At 43.9% G+C, this 24,352-nt stretch overlaps 1 long non-coding RNA gene across 1 annotated transcript in view, besides 1 other annotated feature; it reads left to right on the forward strand.

Annotated features, from left to right (window-relative positions):
* Positions 1,978-2,731: an enhancer, noted in NCBI's record as "OCT4-NANOG-H3K27ac-H3K4me1 hESC enhancer chr16:9621809-9622562 (GRCh37/hg19 assembly coordinates)". NCBI's record gives its function as "activates a minimal SCP1, AML or CMV promoter by ChIP-STARR-seq in primed H9 embryonic stem cells {active_cell/tissue: H9 hESC(primed)}" and the evidence as "EXISTENCE:reporter gene assay evidence [ECO:0000049][PMID:30033119]".
* LOC132205950 (uncharacterized) overlaps positions 16,002-24,352 on the forward strand; it is a 31,950-nt gene continuing 23,599 nt past the window's right edge. The window contains exon 1 of the long non-coding RNA NR_188388.1: positions 16,002-16,199. This is a non-coding gene — a long non-coding RNA (uncharacterized LOC132205950). The remainder of the gene's footprint in view (positions 16,200-24,352) is intronic.

The following is a 24,352-nucleotide window of genomic DNA, read 5'->3' on the forward strand; positions in this document are numbered from 1 at the left end:
TAACTAGAGGACGGGTGGGGGTTGGGGGCAAGGAGACATTCCATGCAGAGGGAATGGCAATGACCGTGTAGTGCAAAGGAACATGCAGGTTGGAAGAAGTAAGAGAAGATCAGAATGGCTGGAGTGGGATGAGGTGTCTAAAGTGAGACTGGACATGTGGGTAGGGTCCAAATTGTGCACGGTCTTCCAAGCCATAATCACAAATATGTCCTTTATTATGGAAACAATGGAAATAATTGAAGGGTTTTAAGAAAGTTGGATGGAATGATGAAAATTGTGTGTTGCCAAGACCCCTGTGATTGTGGAAGAGAAGGAATTGGGCATGGATACAAGTGGGTGCAGAGTCCAGTCGGGAGACTTTTGGAACCACCTAAACGAGATGTTGGAGGCCTGGGCTGTTTGTGACGGTGATGTGGTGATGGTGATGAAGAGATGTAGATGATTTTTTTTTTTTTTGAGACGGAGTCTCGCTCTGTTGCCCAGGCTGGAGTGCAGTGGCACGATCTCGGCTCCCTGCAAGCTCCACCTCCCGGGTTCACGCCATTCTCCTGCCTCAGCTTCCCAAGTAGCTGAGACTACAGGCGCCCGCCACCACGCCCGGCTAATTTTTGTATTTTTAGTAGAGACAGGGTTTCACCATGTTAGCCAGGATGGTCTCCATCTCCTGACCTTGTCATCTGCCTGCCTTGGCCTCCCAAAGTGCCGGGATTACAGTCATGAGCCACCACGCCTGGCTGAGATGTAGATGGTTTTACTTGAAAAATGGCTTAGAGAAGTCAGATAGCTCATTCTGTGCCACGCAGCTAAGCCTTCTTCAAAAAACAGGCAAAAGCCAAAAGGTAACCTCAGGACTTTTGGGGAGACTCTGATGTTGCTGCATCGGGAGGGTGCAAAGAGGTATTGGCGGAGAGCAGGGGAGGTGTGTTGCATCTGCGTTGGCTACAGAGTCCTTCATCTTTACTACCTCCCTGCTCCCTGACCAGCAGTGTAATCTCTGCTGCCACTATGCTAAAATTCCTGCTCTCCCCAGGGCACATCCTCAGGCTTTTGTGTAGGCTGTAACCCCCACCTGGCACGCCTTTCCCCCTTTCTCCACTTGACAAACAAACTCTTACTTATCAAAACCCTTTAAAATCAACACTGTTATCAAGCATCTCTAATATCCCTGGGAAGAATTTCTCTTTGTTCTTTGTGTTCCTGTGAGTTTTGATAAATTTAAAATTATTGTTACCCTGTAGTACAACAATTCATTTATATGTTTGTCTGTCAGACTGTTTGATGTCTAACTCAGTCTCTTGCACAAAGTAGTCATAATAACAATATCTAAAGTTTATCATATGCTCATATGCTGATATGATATCATATCGTATCAGGTGCTAAGGTGTTTTGTTTGTTTTTGTTTTTTGATAGAGTCTCACTCTGCCACCCAGGCTGGAGTGCAATGGCACAATCATAGCTCACTGCAGCCTCAACCTCCCAGGCTCAGGTGATCCTCCCACCTCAGCCTCCCAAGTAGCTGGGACTACAGATGCATCACCACCATGCCCAGGTAGTTTTATGTATCTTTTTGTAGAGACACGGTTTCACCATGTTACCCAGGCTGGTCTCAAACTCCTTGGCTCAAATGATCCACCTGCGTTGGCCTCCCAAAGTGCTGGGATTCCAGGTGTGAGCCACCATGCCCAGCCTAAGGTTTTATATGTTATCACTCATGAGGTAGGTACCATCATCATCCCAATTTTACAGATGAGGAAACTGAGTCACAGAGTGATTAAGTGGCTTGCTTACAATCTCCTTCTCTGAATGATGGGCCAGGATTCACATCCACGCATTCTTTTGTCACCCACTACTTGTAGCATTCATTAATGAACCTTGCCCACAACAATTATTGCTGTGGTATAGAAAGAATAGGTTTTGAACTTCAGCTTTTTTATTCACTCATTGTATGACCTTGGGAATGTCACTTTACCTTTCTGCATCCTAGTTCTTCATGCATAATAAAATAGGATTCATTATAGGACTGATATTGTCATGAGGGTTAAATGAAATTAGCATGGAAAAATACTTGCCTAATCACATATTAGATACTCCACTAATAGTAGATCTCTCTTAACTTCATCTTCTCCTCCAAAGAAGGGTATGTTCATCCAAAAGACAAAATACTGAAAACAACATTCTTTGGATACCAGCTGCCAGAATGCAGAGATTTCAAGAATTTCAGCAATGCTGAGCACTCCAAAGTTGCCAATAGCTGCAGGATTCTTCTTACATCTTCGACAGAAGGACATTTGGAGCTTTCTGTACATGCACTGTAATACACATATTCTATGGGGCATATCAGTTATGCATTCACTTGCCTCCGTTAATATTTTAGGCTTCATAAGCATAAATAAAACATACCTTAATTAGAAGTTTACAATCAGATTTCTATCTTGATCTTCTCTCCCCACCAGCCTTGTTTCTAAAGACAAGCATTAGGGTATATGTCCCACAGTCATAAATCATTCAGGACCATCCTTTTGGACAGAGGTGTGCTCCCCCTGCCAGGTTGGAACGATTGGTTCAAACAGCCTCGGCATGCAGTCACTGATGCGACAAGCGATGAAGTTCTATTGTTTTTTCCTTTTTAGAAGAAATTGAAATTATTCATGAGGTGCCGCTCAGCTGAACACTTGGATCCTTTCCCCTACTTCAGGGACAGATTTCCTGGCCAGAACTTGCTGCCGAAGAATCTAACATTGGTTAAAAATGAACGTGTTCTCCAAAGGAGGACATTAATATACTTAATGTTCAAGGAGTCTTGGCATCCCCTGTTGAGAGGCTGCCAAACAAATTGCATTAGGCAGGTACTTTTGCTCCTGATGAGATGAACAGGTGGCCCAAGTACATCATGCATCATTATTTGCTTGGATCAAGTGCAAACAGGTGTGCCCCATTCATATCTCCAAAACATGGATTGACCACCACCTTCAATAGGTCCTTTGCCAGAACACTTGCAAGTCACCCAGGTGCAGTAGAACTGGGACATTGTAGGCTGGGCGCCCTGGCTCACACCTGTAATCCTAGCACTTTGGGAGGCTGAGGCAGGCGGATCATCTGAGGTCAGGAATTCGTGACCAGCCTGGCCAATGTGGCGAAACCCCATCTCTACTAAAAATACAAAAATTAGCCAGACTTGGTGATGAGCGCCTGTAATCCCAGCAACTCAGGAGGCTGAGGCAGGAGAATCGCTTGAACCTGGGAGTCGGAGGCTGCAGTGAGCCTCTGCACTCCAGCCTGGGCAACAGAGTGAGACTTGGTCTCAAAACAAAACAAAACAAAAAACAAAACAAAACAAAAAAAGAATTGGGACATTGTTCTTGTTTATACCAGCAAGCTGGGGGCCTGGGGGCCTATAATAGTTTTCTCCCAATTGGTGGACTTGGCAGAGGACAGAAAGGAGCCTGATTGTCACATTGCTCTCAGAGTACCCTGATGGAACAGTCGCTAACTCAGTCTTAACAGGCACACAATGTGAACAGGCAAAACAGGCTGATGGGAAATCTGAGAATGAGAAATCCGACTAAGGCAGAGTGGCCAGGATGCACAGATAGTACATAGTAAAGCTAGAATTTGAACACAGGTCTCTGTGGCTTCAAAGTTTTTAAAAGCCCTTTTGTGAATGACCCAGATCATGAGAAAAAGCCAGAAGAACTTCACAAATCAACACATGGCCAGAGGTTTCTGTTGTGAATGATTTCATGTTTTCAAATTGCAATGGGTAGATGAAGGGTTGTCCTCTCTATTCTAGCAGGAAAAGTCAGGATTTCTGTGACTGCAGTATTCATCCCATGTTCTTTTATTTCTATTTTTCTTGTTTCTCTAAAGCATTTTGTTCTGGGAATTCACACAAAGGCAACTTCACCACCTGCCATGTACTCTCCCTAAAGTCACTGTCTTTCAAATATTTGGATTCCTTGGCTTCAGTAATCCCTACACTAAGGGGATGTTGGATCAGCCTGCCAGATCCCTTGCAACTTTAAGAGTTATGATCTGTTAGTCAGGCATGGTGGTGCATGCCTGTAGTCCCAGCTACTTGGGAGGCTGAGGCTGGAGGATTGCTTGAGCTCAGGAGTTTGAGGATGCCGTGAGGATTGCACCACTGCACTTCAGCATGGGCAACAGAGTGAGACCCTGTCTCTTTAAAAAAAAAGTTATGATCTAAGTTCAGATGCACAATAATGTGCATGCTCCTTTTGCTCCAAATATGCTCCTTTTGTATACCTTTGAAGGCAGAGTCTTTTGACAATTGTCCTTTGGTTGGCAGGACAACTCTGGTTGAAGGTGATCTATAGGTGAACTCTTTGTCCATCCAGAAACCACTCAAGTTCGTTTGCCATGCCATCCATGTTTCTGGTTCTTGTTGCTTAGCATCGCTCATCAATTGGCAAAGATCTGGTTAAAATCTTTTACAAAATAGGTGCCTTTATAAATTGTCAGTGGCTGTGAAACTTGGTACAACCCTCTAGGAAAAAAAGTGGGAATCTAAATGAAGAACACTGAAGACCGTTTCATGCAGTTTTACTCGGTCATTTGACTTCTGGGAATGTATCCTAAGGCTGTTCTTCTTATACTACTTACCCAGCACCTTCTCTGGGCCAGACCATGTGCTAAATAGTTTACATAAGTATTTCATGTATCCCCGCAACATTGCCATGAAGCGGATACAAATACACCCATTTAAAGACAAGGAAACTGTAGTTCAGAAAGGTTGAGTCACTTGCCCAAGTCCTTCAGCCACTGGGCAAGAAAGGATTCAGGTTTCAGACCAATGTGTTTTTTCTTTAGACATATTACCCATGCAATTGGCCACACTCCATAGCAATGCTATTTTGGAAGCTCCATTTAATAAGTTAAAATGAATTTTATGGGCAGCTGAGTAATTATCTGACTTGAACCCAATTAAAAATTGAGTCAATTCTGCCTGAGTTTGAAGGCTTCTTTTGATTAATGCTGGACAAATGGATTTCTCCTTTTAACCAGAACCCTGAGTTCCAGATGGCCAGGCTGGCCTCTGTACAGAGTGTCCCCAAAAAAGCTTGTGTGATGCACCCATACGTGCCCACTTGTCCAGATCTCTACGTGACATGTATGTGCACCAACCAGGGGAAAGATTGTTGACTAGAACCAGACATTCAATTAGCATCTTCTGCAGCCACATGGTTTAATGACAGACTATTTCTTTTTAGAAGCTCAGTGAAGATGGGCATGGCCTTTAGAATCTCTAGACCTAGGATTGTTATTTTTTTTTTTTTTTAGAGGAACATACAGATTTATTTAATTTTAAGTTTTATGTGAGTTGAGAGACTTTATAAAGAAATGGCAGCCCAAAGAAGTTGCAAAATCTCAATGCTTTCCTACTATGCTGGACAAAGTGAGGCAATTGTGAAAAAGTAATTAAGATATACAGGAAAGCTAAAGAAAGATAAGAGTTGTTTTAACAAAATTCGATTGTTTGCAGAGAATTGTCTCTGTCTCTGGTGATAAAGATATTTTTTTTTATTATTGTACTTTAAATTTTAGGGTACATGTGCACAATGTGCAGGTTAGTTACATATGTATACATGTGCCATGCTGGTGCGCTGCACCCACTAACTCGTCATCTAGCATTAGGTATATCTCCCAGTGCTATCCCTCCTCCCCCACCCCACCCCACAACAATCCCCAGAGTGTGATGTTCCCCTTCCTGTGTCCATGTGTTCTCGTTGTTCAGTTCTCACCTATGAGTGAGAATATGCGGCGTTTGGTTTTTTGTCCTTGCGATAGTTTACTGAGAATGATGATTTCCAATTTCATCCATGTCCCTACAAAGGACATGAACTCATCATTTTTTATGGCTGCATAGTATTCCATGGTGTATATTTGCCACATTTTCTTAATCTAGTCTATCATTGTTGGACATTTGGGTTGGTTCCAAGTCTTTGCTATTGTGAATAGTGCCGCAGTAAACATACGTGTGCATGTGTCTTTATAGCAGCATGATTTATAGTCCTTTGGGTATATACCCAGTAATGGGATGGCTGGGTCAAATGCTATTTCTAGTTCTAGATCCCTGAGGAATCGCCACACTGACTTCCACAATGGTTGAACTAGTTTACAGTCCCACCAACAGTGTAAAAGTGTTCCTATTTCTCCACATCCTCTCCAGCACTTGTTGTTACCTGACTTTTTAATGATTGCCATTCTAACTGGTGTGAGATGGTATCTCATTGTGGTTTTGATTGTTAACTGGCTCCGCCACTTAATAGCTGTGACCTTGGGGAAACGACAGAATGAATGGTTGGGGACATTGGTTGTAGGCAACAAGCTAAGCCTCAGTGTTTGTAAGGAAGCTCTCCCTCAGAGGGTCAGGGAGTAGACTCTGAGCTATGCAAGCATCATCAGCTCCCAAAATCTCCCAGCAGAACAGGCTGCCATCTCTCCCAGCTTCACTCATACTGTTAGCCCAGCAGCCCTTTGTGTCCAGGGAAATCAGAAAAGTTGCCACCACCACCAGCATCTATTTTAAACATGGATTTCACTTGTCCCTCATTTTTTAGGGCTCATAGCTCCAATTTCACTCTGGAGCAGGCACAGCTGATTGGTAGAGTGTGGTGGCTGCTAAGGCCCAAGAAAGTGGGTATTTGGCATCTTTACCTTCAACAGTGGAAAGTGAGCTCTGCCTGGAATGCCCCAGGCAAAGGAAGGAACATTTTTCAGGTTCTGGGTAGCCAAAAAGAAAAGCGCTGGGATTACAGATGTGAGCCACTGTGCCCAGCTAAAGGCAGTCTTTTGACAGTTGCCCTGTGCTTGGTCCTCTGGTTGAAAGTGATCTATATGTGAACCTTTATCCATTCATGAAGCACTCAAGTTCATTTGCAAAACCATCTACGTTTCTGGTTCCTGACATGCTGTGGCAAACACACTACACACTACAAATGACAAATACTGCAAATGGGAATTATAATACTCATCTGCTTGGCTTTATTCATTCATCATTCATTCATTCCATCTACAGGTATTTATTGAACATCTATTATGTACCAGGCACTGTGCTAAGTCTGGGGATACAGCTGTGAAACAAGGGTTTATTGAAAAGGTTTACATTATTGCTTGTAAAAACAATAACATTGACAGAGTCTCTCATGTTTTGAGTTGAGTTCTGTGCCAGAAACTGTGCTAGGTACTTAATGCCCGTCCTTCTCACCCCGCCCGTGAATGAAACTTTCTTACCAAAAAATCATTGCAGAGTGCTATTGTGCAATAATCCCCAATAGCAGGTGGCCAATAAAACTAAACACTCTCTCTGCTCAACAGGTTCAAACTTTGATCCTGAGAGATTTGATTTTCTTGCTTTTCTTTTAGACATCAATAAACTTAAAAATCAAAACATAGGAACCTGATGATTTTGCCTAAATGCATGATGTCAGCTCATTCAGCTCAATCAAGGGGTTGATGGCTGCCAAGCAGGTGACAAATGGAATTAAGTGCACTCGCGGCATTGATGCACAGCTTGAAAAGGCTTGCTTGTTTGGAGACACCGATCATCTGTCTCCAGACCCCCTCGCTGTGCTGAGCTAACCGATATAATTAAAGACATGTTTCTGTTTGCGAAGTGATAGACTGAGCTGGCTTTTGGGGCTGCAACATCTGTCATCCCAGCCTGTTGCTGTCTTGTGGCTCCTTCTGAGTTCAGGGTTCCTTGGGGTTGCTGTCACCAGCCTTGAGAGCAGAGTGGGTGCCCATGGTTCACAACTGGATTCCAACTCTCTTATAAGGTGAGACGTGGGAAAGGTGTATTTATCAAAGTGGACAGGAAAATAAAAGCCACATGTGTCCCAGTGAAGTAGTAAAGAGACACAGGCAGGCACATAGGCAGGATGGCCTAGTGACAAAGGATGTGGGTTTGGGCCCTGGGTTCTGAGCATGGTCTTCCCTAACTCCTTAATCTTCCAGAGAGCCAACTTGTTTACACAATCATCACAAAAATGATGCCCAATCCTAGGGCCGTTGAACAATTTAAATGAGAGAATGGTAACAAAGAGCCTGGCTGATAATATTGTTGGTAATAAGTAGTATCTGCTGATGATTAGTGTTATTAAGACAATTTCCCCAGCATGGCCAGTTGCTGTAGAATCTTAAGAGAGTTGCTTATCCCTTCTGTGCCTCGGTTTCCTCATCATTAAGCATCTCTTCCAGTCCATTTCATGGGAACACGATGAAGAGAAGTAGGGAAGGTAGATATGTCAACATTTAAAAAATGACTTGACACCAGGCGTGGTGGCTCATGCCTGGAATCCCAGCACTTTGGGGGGCCAAGGTGGGTGGATCACTTGAGGTTAGGAGTTTAAGACCAGTCTGGCCAACATGGGAAACCCCATCTGTAGTAAAAACACACAAAATTAGCCAGGTATGGTGGCACGCACCTGTAGTCCCAGCTACTCAGGAGGTTGAGGCAGGAGACTTGCTGGAACCTGGAGGCTGCAGTAAGCCGAGATTGTGCCACTGAACTCCAGGCTGGGCGACAGAGCAAGACTCCATCTCAAAAATATGTAAATAAATAAAAATATGTAAAATAAAAAAAGTAAAGTAAATAAAAAATTTAAAAAGACATGACAATTACGGAGCAACTCCTCTCCTTGATCAGATATGGAGGAAAATGCCTTTTTATTTTTATTTTTTTTACTGCGTATCCACTCTAAAGCCTGCCATGTGGTAACTTGGGTCACTCATTTTCTTTGCACCCTTTGCTAGTCTGTAAAACAGGGCTCCTTGCTTGCCTCTTAGAGTTCCACGAAGATCACTTCAGGGAATGCATAAGAAAGTTCTGTAACTATTGAATATTATCCCCATGAGAGGCAGGGGGAGGTCTGTAGGGGGAGGTCTGCAGCAGCTCCCTGCAGCAAAAGTGAGCAGCTTCGTCATCTTTGCAGGCTGCCAAGCACCGGGCTTGCTGACCTTCTGAATCTGGCCACTGGCCACCTGTAGAGCTTCATTCATTCCTTCCCACTGCTCCTGCTCAGCTGTTTTCCCAAACTCTGTGAGCCCCTGTTCCAGGCACAGTGGACTTGCCTGAACACATTGTGTTTATCTCCTTGCACTAGAAAATATTTGCTCTTGGTGAATCCTAGGCCTTGGTGAGTGTGGGGTTGCCATAGCACCCCCACCTGTCGTCACAGCATCTAGCTTTCTGCATCAACATTTCTGGTTTTCTTCCTTGTCTCCACTGTGAGGCTGTCCATAATTTGAGGGCCAAGATCCTTGCCTGTTTATCTCACTAAGGCACTTCATGCATGTCAGTCAGCACAGTAGAGGGATCAAGCTCTCAGTCTGCAATCAGACGGGATGGGTTCTAGCCTCACCTTGTTCCTTTATTAGCCATGTTCTTAGGAAGTTCCATAAGCAGCCTCAGTCTCAGAGCAGAGGTGTCTGATTGGCCTAGACTTGAGACTCCTTAAACTTTAATAAACATTTGAAACACCTAGGAGTCTTACATAGAATTAAGATTTTGGTTCAGGAGGTTTGGAATGGGACCTGAGATTCTGCGTTTCTGACAAGTTCCAGGTTGTTGTCACTGCTGCGCGTCTCCGGACCACACTGTGAGTAGTGGGGTGCAGGCTACGATTGGTTCAAACACTGGATCGTGGGGAGGATTTGGTTTTCTATAACAAGTTGACAAATAGGCTGACATGAGAGTCAAAGGACATCATGCATTTAAAGCCCTGAATCCACAAATCTTGGCTAATCAAAGCATGCCTCATATCAACTGTCATTTACTGAGCTCTTCCTATGAGAATCAATAGCAAACGTTGAGTGAGCACTTTCTATATGTCAGTCAAGGTGCTAAGTACTTTGACACACAGGGTCTCAAGTGGGGAAACTGAGGCTCAGATAAGTTAAATGTGTTGAATTATCAGTGTGATAATACTTTTGATTGACTTGCCTTTCCCACCCTCTTCTCTTTTAATAAAATCACCAAGGATCTGAGAAGATCAAATCTGCCTCCAGCCCCTGCCACCTAAGAGCGGATGTAATGATACTAGCAGTATTTTCCCTTCTTTTTGTTCATTCCTGCAGCCATTGTTTATTGAGCATCTACTATGTGAAAGGCACTGTGGATACACTAATGGAGACAAACGTAGCCCTTATGGAGCTTCCAGTCTAGTGAGAGACACAGATATTAGTTAAGTAATTCCACAGATAAATATGATTCCAATCTGTTGAAAGGAGCTATCAGGAGAAAAGGATTTGGGAGCGACAAAAATGGGGAATTTGATCATTGGACTCTGCAAAGGCTTCCATGTGTGGATACGACCCTGAAATCACAGTGAAAGGTGGGTAGGAGTTGGCTAAAGAGAACATCTTGTGCAAAGGCCCTGGGGCGGGTTGCTGGGAGAGAGCACAGGACACTCAGGAGACAAAAGAAGACAAGTGCGGCTGGGGGCGGAGAGGTGTGAGCTGAAACTGGAGAGGCAGGCAGGGTCAAATCACAGAGGGCTTTCCAGTGCACATCAAGGATTCTGGGCTTTATCCTAAGAGCAGTGGAAAGCCACTGAACAGTTTTAAGCAAGGGAGGAGTGATAACATCTGGCATCAATTTTGAGATCACTCAAAGAGATGAATCAAACAGATTTGGTGGGAGTTGCTTGAGTGAAAATGTAAAGAGGAATAAGCAAGTCCAGGCAAGAAATGACAGTGACCAAGGATGGGTGTGGAGGTGGCAGTGGCAATGGGGAGAAGGGGAACTCTGTAGAATGTATGTGAGAAATAAAACAACAACAACAACAACTGTATATTAGGGCTTGGTGATGGGGTCACTGTAAGGGGTGCAACAGCAAAGTGAGGGTGAGGGAGGCTTCCTGAGTATTCTCCAGTATTAGGACGCGAATACTTTAGTCATCCTCTTCATCCATATCTTCTATTTATACCTGGGCAAATAGTCCCAGAGAGAAAGGAGAAAAGGGTTTGGGAGCTACAAAAATGGGGAATTCGATGAATGCAAAGGCTTCCATGTGTGGATATGACCCTGAAATGACAGGCAGAAGGTGAGTAGTTGACTAGTTAAAGATAACAGTTTGTGCAAAGGTCCTGGGGCAGGGTTGGTGGGGGAGAGCTTGAAACACTCAGGACTGCCTTTCACATAGTAGATGCTCAATAAACAATGGCTGCAGGAATGAATAAAAAGAAGGGAAAAAACTGCTGGTATCGTTATGTCGGTTCCCAGGTGGCAGGGGCTGGAGGCAGGTTTGATTGTCTCAGATCCTTGGTGATTTTTTTAAAGGAAGAGAGGATGGGAAAGGCATGTCAATCAAAAGCATTATCAGACTTATCCAAGGTCACACAGCTGGATGAGCAGAGGCTGGGCCAGTGTGGACCAGTTTTGAAGCTCTAGTGGCCAGTCCTGCTTAGTCCTAAGGAAGGGACCCTCTACCTTCTGCCTCTTGTATTGCTAAACAACAAAGTAGCAAGTGAGAAGAGGGTGTAACAGTGAAAAGATGAATGAGCTGAAACTCTTTCTCCCTTTAATGATTCTCTTAGACCTGTCAGATTCTCTGTCTTCAGGATTCCAGGTGATTCATCTGCCTTCAAAGCTACCCCAGTCCTGCTTGACCCTTCCAGGACTCTCAACTGTGATTTTTGGCTAGAACAAGAAGCAGAAGCTTGACACTATAGAAAGAGTTTTCAATCAGGAAGACCTGGGTTCAAATCCCAGCAGTACTTCTAAGTATCTACTCAAGAGAAGCACTTACCTGCATGCAGTATGGGTCGTGCATGCAAATTTTCACTGCAAAACTGCCTTTTATAATTAAAGACAATTGAAGTCAACCTCAGGGTGTATCAATAGGGGAAAGAATAAATAGGATATGGTTTATATGATGGAGTAAAACACAGCCCTCAAAGGAATGAATTGACATCAGTTGGAGAGGTGGATCTCAAAGACACATATTGTTGAATAAAAAATATGAGTTGTTGAGAAATCCATTTAAAAGGATACCATTTCTGTAAAAAAATCACAGCAAATGCCATGTATTTTATGGATACATTTATGTGCATGTAAAGTAATAAAAAGAGGTCTAGAAGAACAGGAATGACATTCATAATGCTATCTGAGGCGGAAGTCAAAGGGACTTTATCTGCACTGTTCTAATTTTCTAAAAGGCAAATGAACTGATTTATTATAAGAAGAAAAACTCTGCCAGTGTGACCTTTGAAAAATAATATACACTTTTCTGGCCAGGCACGGTGGCTCACGCCTGTAATCTTAGCACTTTGGGAGGCCGAGGTGGGTGGATCACGAGGTCAAGAGATCGAGACAATCCTGGCCGACATGGTGAAACCCCGTCTCTACTAAAAATACAAAAATTAGCTGGGCATGGTGGTGTGCGCCTGTAGTCCGAGCTACTCGGGGGGCTGAGGCCGGAGAATCGCTTGAACCCGGGATGTGGAGGTTGCATTGAGCCGAGACTGCACCACTGTACTCCAGCCTGGTGACAGAGCACGACTCCATCTCAATAAATAAATAAATAAACAAATAAATAAAATAATATAAACTTTTCTGAGTCTCAATCTCATTACTTTATTCATTCCATAGTTATTAACTACTGTGCTTTACCTGTGCAAGTTGTGGGGTACCCCAAGTCGAGATGGGCTCTCTGACCTTAGAGAAGCTGTGTGGTCTTTTGGGACAGAGAGGAAGCAACACAGTGATCAGAGAGCACAGAATAAGCCAGGGGCCCCGAAGAAAGGTCATTGCCTAGCCTAGGGTGCAGGAAAGCCCCCCAAGGATATTGGCACCGAGCTGAGGTTTTGAAAAACAAGAAGGTGTTAGCCAGTCGTAGGACAAGGGTACAGGTGATGCAGTTGGAAAAGCAGCCTGTGCTCTGTGTTGGGCTGATTAATTACCATTTAATCTACAATCAAAAACAAAAACTAATGTTGCTGCTGTTGTCAGCTTCATTTTCTAAAAACACTGTCACCATCCATGTGATGGAAATTATGATATTTTGCACACGAACTTGTTTTGAGGAAAGGATCTAGCACATAGCAGGTATTCGACAGACATGACTTCCCATCTCACTTGTTGCCTCATTTAACCCACCTTAGAGGACTGAATAATGGCCCCCTAAAATATCAGGTCCTAATCCCTGGATCCTGTAAATGTGACTTATTTGGGAAAAGGGTCTTTGCAGAGGCGATTAAGTTAGGGATTAAGTTAGGGATCTTGTGACAGGGAGATTACAGGATCTTTTGTCCTAAATATAATCACAAGCGTCCTTAAAAGAGAGAGGCAAAGGGACCTAACACAGACATACAGGAGAGAAGGAGGCAATGGAGACAGATCTGAAGACAATGACATTGAAGATTTGAATGATGCAGCCACAAGCCAAGGAATGCCGGTGCCATCAGAAGCTGGGAAAAGCAAGGAAAGCTCTCCCTTGGAGCCTCTGGAGGGGGTGTGCCTGCTCAGCCCAGTGAGGGTGGTTTTGCCCTTCTGGCCACCTAAGTTGTGAAAGATTATATTTCTGTTGTTTTAAGCCACTCAGTTTGTAGTAATTTGTTACAGCAAATACAGAAAACAAATATACCCAAGTCCATTGTCCATAGCCCTCTTCAATCTTTACTGCATTGCAGCAAAAGATATCTGATAAATGCACTTGTAAAAGGAATGAGATTTCATGGCTTCCTAGGAGCATATGCATGGGGAAAAAGGGCAATGCTTACTCCAAAGAGGGAAGACTTTCTAACTGAGCCTTTCAGACATCAGAGGGCTGTGGGGTTGTGGCCAGAAGGCCAGTTTGAAACAGGACTGGCATGCTAGAGGGAGCTGGCAGCCGTGGGAAGCTTCCTGGGGTCTTATCCAGGCAACACAGTCATCTGAGCTGGGTTGCAGAGGCCAAGCCATAACCAAGAGGAAGCTAAAATAGTCTGGAATCTAGCAGTGAGTGGCAAATCTGAGCTGTAAAGCTCGGATGGAAGAGAACAAGTCACAACAAAAAAGTGACTGCCACCCCATGTGGGCTATTCAGTTAGCAGGTGTGGGCACCATAGTAAGAAGTATTGAACACCAGATCATCTCATTCTTAACATTCTAAGGGAAGCCTGTTTTACAATTTTGGAGTCTTAGGCTTAGTGAATCTACCCAGGGTCACAGAGCTGGGAGGAACAGGTCCACAATTTAAACCCAAATCTTTTGGATTTCAACCAGTTCTCTGAAAGTTGGCTGAAGACTGGGGAAGGTGTTCCAGGTATACCTGTCTCGTGTCCTCTTACCTTATACCTTGCAGACCTGTTAGCTACATACAAGGCTGAGGCTAAGGCTAATGTCTTCCAGTTTTTTCTCATGGACTCATGCCAACCTAGAGACCCATTTTTTTTTTTTTCTGGAATCCCATTTGTTTTAATTGACTAGACTTTGAGCTGAGGAGGGTGAGTGAGTGTGTGTGTATGTGTGTGTGTGTGTGTGCGCATGTGCATCTGGTCTTATCAGCTCACTTAGACTGTGCTAAAATAATGTGTTTTGGTAAAAAAACAACATTGCCACTTGGTATCAAGCTGATTAATTCCTACAGAAGCTGTAATGAAAACGAAACCACATTTGTGTCCCAACCTTGCTACCATTCAGCATCTTCTGTGATTTTGTTTTTCTTAATCTAGTTTCAGAATCTTAACAGCTTCTGTAATCTTCCAAAGATTCTACAGGACTTTCTTATATGACTTGCTTAGAGCAAATGAAAATAAAATTATATTTCTCTGGCTTCTCACAAATTCTTGGAGGTTGTCCATATTTCCTCAAATGATGGGCCACCGGAAAGGTAATCTCATGTTACGGTGATTTACTGAATCTTTTATTTATTTATTTATTGAGACGTAGTCTCGCTCTGTCGCCCAGGCTGGAGTGCAGTGGCGCAATCTTGGCTCACTGCAACCTCTGCCTCTCGGGTTCAAGAGATTTTCTTGCCTCAGCCTCCCGAGTAGCTGGGATTACAGGCACGTGCCACCACACCCGGCTAATTTTTTTATATTTTCGGTAGAGATGGGTTTGCACCATGTTGGCCAGGCTGGTCTTGAACTCCTGACCTCAAGTGGTCTGCCTGCTTCAGCCTCCCAAAGTACTGGGATTGCAGGCATGAGCTACCAAGCCCAGCCAGAATCTTGAGTCTAATTTTGGCAACCCCCAGTGCATTTCATGGAAGGGATAGTTAGAGCTAACACACAATTTTCCCTGTGTCATTTGCTAGTTACTGTTTATGTGCATTTTTACACATATTAATTCTTTTAAACTATACAAGAGCTCTATGAGATAGGTACTATTATTATCTTCATATTAAAAGTTTGTAGAGGTTAAAAAGACTTCCCCCAAACCACACAGCTATTAATGCTAGCCTTTGAATTCAGGAGGTCTGGCCCAAGAGTCCACTCTTTTAACCACTCCACTAGTGTCCTTTATGTATCCCGAGGCTATTTCAAGAAATCTTAAAGCAGCTCACGTTATTGAGCCCATATTATGTGCCGAATATTTTGTAGGGTGTTTTACATGCATTTTTGGGTAGTTCCCAAACATGGTGACTGCCGTAATTATTAGGGAACTTAAAAAATGTTTCTTTTCTCTAGGAGCCACCTATAGCCTCCTCAATCAGTTATTAGGAGTAGAAGTGAAAACAGGGATCAGCATTTGAGTTGTAGTTTGACCCATGTGCTAGGGGGGTCCCAGGAAACTTGGGAAGGGGAAGGAGATATTCCCTTCTTCTATTCTCAGGAACCATGATCACATTTTTCTGGCTTCTCAGAAATTCTTGGAGGTTGTGTGTATTTCCTCAAATGATGGGCCACTGGAAAGCTAACCTCACGTTATCATGATTTACTGAATGTTGAGTCTAATTCTGGCAACTCCCAATGCATTTCACGGAAAGGATCGTTACGGTAAACACAGAATGTGTCACATATTTTGCACAATATTTTCCCCAGTAGCCTTCAATTGGCTCAATTTGGAGAGGTCGTTCTCCAGTGGGGAAGAAGGAATAACAAAAGGAGCATTTTTGGAGCATTTATTAACAGTATAGGCTAGGCTTTTTTTCTATGTATTTTATATGTGTCTATTCATTTAATGCCCTTGATAATCCACTGAAAGAGGTGTCATTATTATCATCCCATTTTACAGAAGAAGAAACTGAAACAAGAAGGTAAGTGATTTGCGTCAATGTTACACTGCAGGGGAAAGGAAACCGGGGAAGAGAGAGACAGGATAATAGCTGCCTGAGTTAGGTGTAAATGTCCTTCATAGAGATTCAGAAACCTTCCCAAGACCACACAGCTATGAATGCCAGGATTTGGACTCAGGCTGTCTGGCTCAAGAGTCCATACACTTACACACTCTGCTGGTGTTCTGTGTGTACTCCTGGGCTGTTTTGTTCAATCACAAATTGGATAACATTATTGAGTCCTTATGACATGAGAAATGTTTTGTTGAGTGGACTCGAGCCCCAAGGCCTGCAGTGTTTCAGTCTGTTTTCCCACATTACCACAGCAAGGCTGTTTACTCATCAACCTTCCATCCCCGTTGAGAATGGAGGGGGAGGACGTGCAGAGGATTCATGTTTACGGAGCACACTGCACCAGGGTCTGGGATACGGTGCTAGATAGTTATATACGTCACTTTATTTCATCTTTACTGTCCCATGAAACTGTTGGTGCTCATAAGGAGGCCAGATACTGAAACAAAGTGGAAATGAACTGCCCAGAAAACTGAGATCTGTCTATTTTTCTTCATATTCTTTTTTCTTTTTTGCTTGGATAATTGCAGTAGCCTGCTACACCCTCTACCTGCAGTTCAAGCCTGCCACTAATCCGTTCTCCATGGGGTGGCCAGAGCGATTACAAATATAAATGAACTCAAGTTCTGCAGTCTAGTTAATAGTATCATGCCAATGTCAATTTGCCACTTCTGTAAGTCCTACAAGATGTCACCATTGGGGAAAATGAGTGAAGGGCTGATGGGACTCTATGTACTATTTTGTGACTTGCTGTGAATCTATAATTATTTCAAAATTAAAAGTAAATCAGGCCGGGTGCCGTGGCTCATGCCTGTAATCCCAGCACTTTTGGAGGCTGAGGCAGGTGGATCACTTGAGGTCAGGAGTTCGGGACCAGCCCGGCCAACATGGTGAAACCCTGTCTCTACTAAAAATACAAAAAATTAGCTGGGTGTGTGGCACGCACCTATAATTCCAGTTACAGGGGAGGCTGAGACACGAGAATCACTTGAACCCGGGAGGCAGAGGTTGCAGTGACCCGAGGTTGCACCACTGCACTCCAGTGACAGAGAAAGACTCTGAGTCAACAACAACAACAACAACAACAACAACAAAAAGTAAATCAATCTATCTCTCTATTGTCTATCTAAATATTGCTTCATTGCAGTGAGAGATACGTATAGATAGATGTCTACAGATGGCGAGGCAGACACACAGGCAGACATCTCCAGAGCTCAGAGCTCACCGCTTCCTATTGCTACTCGCCGCAGCCTGCATGCTGTGGCCCCCTGGTTACTCCCCTGGTTCCCTGCACCTCGCACCACCCATCTCCTCCACTATAATGTTCCAGCCACACTTGCCTCCTCCCTGCCTCAGGACCTTAGCACTTGATGACTCTCTTTCTGGACCATGTGGGCTATTCCCGTGACTGGGTCCTGCTTGGTCAGGTTTCAGCTTGTGTTGCATCCTCAGAGAGGTTCTTCTGACCTCTCTGCCTTTACATGTCCTCTCCCTGTGTCCTTTTTGATTTTTCCAAGCATCAGCAAACTTTCAGCAAAGGGCCAGAGTAAATACTTCAGGCTTTATGAGGCACCAAAAGTCCCTATTACATATTATCCTGTTTGTTTACAACCCTTTAAAAATGTAAAAAAATCGTTATTAGTTTGTGATTTACTGACTCTTGATTTAGACTATCTCAGTGTCTGATTTATATTCTACTCAGCACTGCCCATCTAAGATTAGTTTTGCAAAGCCTTACTATACGTTTACTGCCCGCCTTCCCCTCTAGATTGTGGGCTCCATGAGGACAGGTGTTTTTTTCTGGATCACATCCAAGCCTTGATCTAGTGTCTGCCCTGCAGTAGATGCCTAACACGTACTAATTAATAAAGGAATAAATGAGGGAAATTCATCAGCCTTTTTCCTCGACACCGCCAGGAAGTTTCAGCCTGGCATGGCTTGGAGTGACCAGAAATCTCTGTGCCCTCTCTTTTGCCCACTTGCCTCTGTGCTAAGGGGGTTAGAATACTTCTGTTCAACAAACAGACTGCCAGCATTTGGACCCCCATCAAGTTGCTCACTTCTACAAATACAGGTAGAAGTGGGAAAGATGAGAGTCAGCACTGCCCCACGTGGCACATCAGTTTAGGACTTTTAGATGCCATTGACAAATGCCCAAATAACTTGCAACCTCCATTCATTAGGAAACCAACAGTCAACTCATTGGCCTCCCAGTTGGCCTTCTTTTTTTCTTTTTGAGACGGAGTCTCGCTCTGTCGCCAGGCTGGAGTGCAGTGGCACGATCTTGGCTCACTGCAACCTCCGCCTCCACAGTTCAAGCCATTCTCCTGTCTCAGCCTCCTGAGTAGCTGGGACTACAGGCACATGCCATCATGCCCAGCTAATTTTTGTATTTTTAGTAGAGACGGGGTTTCACTATGTTGGCCAGGATGGTCTTGATCTGTTGACCTCGTGATCTACCTGCCTCGGCCTCCCAAAGTGCTGGGATTACAGGCATGAGCCATCATGCCCGACCCCCAGTTGGCCTTCTTAGAATGGGCACCACTAGGTACCAGACCCCAGCTCTGCCACAAATACGGGAAAATTCAAGCATGGTAACTGGCCACGGTCCAATGTTGTTTGTGATGATGATGATCACGATAATGATGATGATGGTAATGATGGTGATGACTTTTTTCCTTTGGAAATGAACATAGCTTTATTGTTTCTTTTCTATTACACAGATAATTTGCAGAAATTTTAGAAACTTCAAATAATACAAGGAAGATTAAAACAACAAAAAACCCCTCAACTCATCCAAATTCCCATCAGCCCTAAATAGCCATTTAACCACGTTCTATTTTAAAGAGCATCTTTCCAGATATCTTTCCAGTGCTTAAAGAAACACACATCTATATAATTTACATAAGTGGGATTACAAGATACCGAATGTTCCACACTTTGCCTTTTTGCTCAGATGATGGTGATTTTAATGAACAAGTAAAGCAGAATCAGCATAGGAGAAATACGTCCTCTATCACAGTGACACATGCAAGCTTGGGGGTCTCTGCCTAAATGTAAAAGCTAACCCCAGGGGACCCAAGAGAGAAGTAAATGATCTGTGCTAATTCTCAGGACCTTACTCATAGGACTATTGGACCAGAGTTCTTCCAACCAAATACCTGTGCCTCAAACAAACGTGCTCCCTGCTGCCTTCTTTCTGTGACCATTCAAGCCCAAATACTACTTATGTACGGCATACGTGCTGATCATTTTCTTATCCGGAAAAATAGCTTCCAGAATTACTGCAGGCCATCAAAGTCTGGAATCAGAGATTAAAATGTGGAGGTAATTGGTGTCTGGGTATCTCAGGTGGAGCGTCCGTGTATTGCATCATTTCAAAGTTTAAATAGCAAAGGTCAAAAATGATATGAGGGAGGAATGTTTATTTAGGTCAGTTCTTGGATTTTTCTATCTGGTGGAATTCCTCTCTGCACTCTGATTACCTCACATCTGAAAAAAAATAAATTTGAAAGTCCTGATTGTACTTCAGGGAAGAGGCACTTTTACTGTCTCAGGGAGGTCAGCTGATGTAAAAATTTGAATAGCTAATATTTATTGCCACTTCTCAGGCATCAGGCACTTGGAATGCATTTTGTATCTCCTACCTAGGACATCCTTGGTGGCAGGTGATCTCAGTATCCACATTGCGTAGGTGAGGGGGCTGAGCTTAGAGCAGGCAGGTAATTTTCCCAGGTCACCCAGCTAGCAAGAGGCAAAGTCAGGAATCTGGATCTAGCCCTGTCTGAGTCAGAGCTGCCCTCCTAACTGCCATGTTGACACAGTGTAGGTGCACTATAAACACATTTTCCTTTCTCTTACCCTTACAATAGGGGGCCTTTGATAAGGGAAAGCCTCATGTCCTCATGTCTGATTTTTTCTATCCCGAGCATTTATTTATTCACGCATTCATTTAATAAATATTTCTTGCCCTCCTTCTCTGCACCAGACATTGTCCTAGGTACTGTGCATACAGCAGCAGACCAAACAAAGCCACTTCCCTCTCTTGCTTCATGGCGCTTACTTTGCAGTGTGGAAGGTAGGTTATTTGAAAACACAAACAAACAAACAAAAAACAGAGATAAATATGTGCTATGTCAGGGGTCACAGGGGAAAAGTAAAGCAGAGTATGGAAGGTAGAGAGGGACATGGGTGTGTCCTACAGGGTGGTCAGGGAAGAATTTTGGAAGAGATGGTAGTTGAGTAGGAGCCTGAAAGAGATGTGAAGGTGAAGCCTGCAGGTATTTGAAGAAAGAGCATTCCAGGGAAGGGCACGTGCAAAGGCCCTGGGGCAGGAGCATGCCTGAGGGCCAGAGAGAGTGCAGAGGGAAAAGAGAGGATTAGAGAGAGAAGATGAGCTGGAAGAGAAAATAGGAGGTGTTGATCAGATCACATGGGGCTTTGTAGGCCATTGTGAAGGATGTGGGATTTACCTTGAGTGAGCTGAGGTTTGAGCAGATGAGTGCTCTGACCCGACTACATCTTAACAGAACCGTTCTGACACTCATGTGAGGGGGCAGATAGGTGGGGAGCGAGGATGGATGCAGACAGGCTGATCAGGAGGCCATTGTGATAATCTAGGTGAGAGACCACGGGGTCTTGGGGCAAAGTATGAGCACTGAAGGTGGCTAGAAGTGATTGGATCCTCTGCACTTTGAAAAAAGAGTGCATGGTTTTTTATTTTTATTTTTTTTTATAAATTGGATGTGCAGAGAGAAAGAAACAAGAACAATACATTCCATAACAGTTATGCCACTCTTCAGTATCAATGTGAAAATAATAAAAGAGCAGCTTGATGTCTTCAATCATGTTACCTATGCACTATGACCTGTCTCCTCCCAGGCAGAACAAATAGTGCAGACTCAAATCCACCCAACCGTCTGTGTTCCCTGGACAAGTAACTTTACCTCTCAGAGCCATTTATTCATCTACTGAGTAGGAGTATTAATATCAACAGTGCCTCCGTCAGAGCGTCTTAGCGTGCGATGACCCCCGTGCGTGGCTTGGAGACATGCATATGGAGGGTGGGGACTAGGTGTTAGTCCTTATTTCTCTTAGGAGTCACATAGGCCTTTGTTTTAGTCATGAGATTAGGGCCCTTCTTTTGAGGTTGCTGCAACCCTGGGGAGAGTGATTATCTAGCACTGTGGCTAAGGTCAGAAACTCAGGAATCAGTTACAAGGAAACCATAGTCAAGATGGCTCCATCACTTGGTCAAGGCATTCGGTCCCTTCGTGGAGCATGGTGGCTCATGTCTGTAGTCCCAGCTACTCAGGAGGCTGAGGTGGGAGGATTGCTTGAGCCCAGGAATTCCAGGCTTCAGTGAGCTAGGATGGTGCCACTGTACTCCAGCCTGGGCAATAGAGCAAGACCCTGTCTATAAATCAAAAAGGGATTCAGGCCCTCTATGCCTCAGTTTGCTCACCTAGGAAATGGGGAGAGTAAACTCTCCCTTGCAGGGTGGCTGGGAGGATTAAATGAGGGGATAGAGGAACAATGAGCAGAGAACAGCTCCTCAATTACTCCTGCTTCCGTTCTCTTTCTTCCAAGTCTCTGTTCTCGGTCACCAAATACCTGCATTGGGATTTGTCTTCACATTTCACGTCCGCTCTGGGTTATGGAAAATTATGCTTCTGTCCTGTAGCATACAGACCTGCAGCTAGGTCTGGGGCTGGGGATTTAATGTCTTTGCAAATTGTCTGATTCTGACATTTACTGTTCTCCGCTTGTCCTGGGCTGGAATCTGCAAGATGAGGCAGCTCTAGGCTTTGTTCTGAGCAGAGGCAGTACACGCCCCAGTCTGTTTGTGAGGCATAAATGAGAGGTGGAATTAGACTTTATTGTTATTATTAAGTCATATAAGTATCAGTAGTGATTTCCATCACTACCTCTCATCTGGGATGCTGCCCCTGCTGTCCCAGGTCCATGCTCACTCCTTTCAACCTTTTCTCCATGTGGCTTCCAGAGGCCAGAGGGATCATTTAAAATGCCCTATCACATCATAGTTGTCTTAAAACATTCTCCTTCCGCCTCACACTAGTCTAGCCACACTGGCCTGCCATTTGCAACTTGACTTTCCATCCTTTCTTCTGCCAAAGGGCCTTTCCACATGCTATTCTGTTTCCTGGTTGGGGGGTGGTGGGGTGCATTGGTGCATATAGGGTTACATAACAAGGTAAAATCAATAAGGTACAGTTGGAGTATTTAGAGGCCCAGCGCTCTGAAAATATCAATCACACTGCTGCCATATGCAATTTAGAACAAAATAACAGTAAGCAGTAACATATAATTTTGTTTTTCAAAATACACACATTTATATAGTTGTGCTGAAATACATTTATTCTTGTTTGCTTGCTCTTGCTTTCTCCTTTCAGATGTTCTTATTAATTCTCTTTTAGGCTCAGTCTCTCTGGGGCTCTGCTTTACTGATACCCTAAACTGTACTTAATTTCCCAATTGAGAATTCCAGAAACTGGAGTCAAGAATGGGAGTTTTTTGCTTGTTTGTTTTTTTGAGACGGAGTTTCCCTCTCGTTGCCAAGGCTGGAGTGCAGTGGTGCAATCTCGGCTCACTGCAACCTCTGCCTTCTGGGTTCAAGAGATTCTCCTGCCTCAGCCTCCCAAGTAGCTGGGATTACAGGTGCCCACCACCATTCCTGGCTAATTTTTTTTATTTTTTATTTTTTATTTTTAGTAGAGATGGGGTTTTACCATATTGGCCAGGTTGGTCTCGAACTCCTGACCTCAGGTCATCCACCTGCCTCAGCCTCCGAAAGTGTTGGGATTACAGGTGTGATCCACCATGCCTGGCCAAGAATGGGATTTTTAGAAAAGAAATAATTAAAAGAGGGCAGAGTAAGGAGTATTCAAAGATAGGCACTCTCCAGAACAGCAGAATTATCATCATCCTCATTATCAGTATTTTTTTTTTTTTTTTTTGAGATGGAGTCTCACTCTGTCGCCAGGCTTGAGTGCAGTGGTACGAACTTGGCTCACTGCAACCTCTACCTCCTGGGATCAAGCAGTTATCTTGCTTCAGCTTCCCAAGTAGCTGGAACTACAGGCGCACACCACCACTCCCAGCTAATTTTTTTTTTTGTATTTTTAGTAGAGGCGGGGTTTCACCATGTTGGCCAGGATGGTCTCAATCTCCTGACCTTGTGATCTGCCCGCCTTGGCCTCTCGAAGTGCAGGGATTATAGGCGTGAGCCACCATGCCTGGCCCTCATTATTGTTTTTAAAATAATGATGACAATAATGGTAAAAATTTGCCATATAATTGTCATTCACATGAAGGAGGGACTTCACTGAATCCTTCCCAGAACTCTTTAAGGAAGTATTATCAACTTCATTTTACAAGAAAAGCTAAGGCTCTGAGAAGTTGTGTTGCTGCCCGTTGTGGACTGAATTTCCTGTCCCTCCCCTCCTCGATTCCTGTGTTGAAGCCCTAACCCCCCATGGGATCGTATTTGGAGACAGGAACTGCAAGGAGGTGATAAAGGTTAAATGAGGTCAGAGGGGTAAGGCTCTGATCTGATAGGACTGATGCCCTTATAAGAAAAGGAAGAGACGCCAGAGCATTTTCTCTCTGTACCATATGAGGACAAAGTGAGAAGGTGAACGTCTACAAGACAGAAAAAGAGCCCTCACCAGGAACTCAATCAGCCAGTGCCTTGATTTTGGACTTCTCAGTTTCTAAAATTATGAGAAAACAGATTTCTGTTATTTAAGCTACCCAGTCTATAATAGTATTTTGTTATGGCAGCCCAAGTGGACTAATACACTCCCCAAGCTGCTCTAACCACGAACAGCTGAAGACAGAATTCACATTCAGGTCACCTGACCCCAAAGCCTGGGCTCTCAACCCAAAGCCTGACTCATCATGAACATTTGGGCTCCTAAGTCCAGGGAGTTCCTCTAATATCACACTATACAGAAAGATCTCATGTAGAAGCAAGTCAAATGAGACCTGATAACGCCCAGGCATGATAATTTTATTCCCTATACCCAAAAAGCAGGAGAGAT

Source organism: Homo sapiens, chromosome 16 (assembly GCF_000001405.40).
Source record: "Homo sapiens chromosome 16, GRCh38.p14 Primary Assembly".
Lineage (NCBI taxonomy): Eukaryota > Metazoa > Chordata > Mammalia > Primates > Hominidae > Homo > Homo sapiens.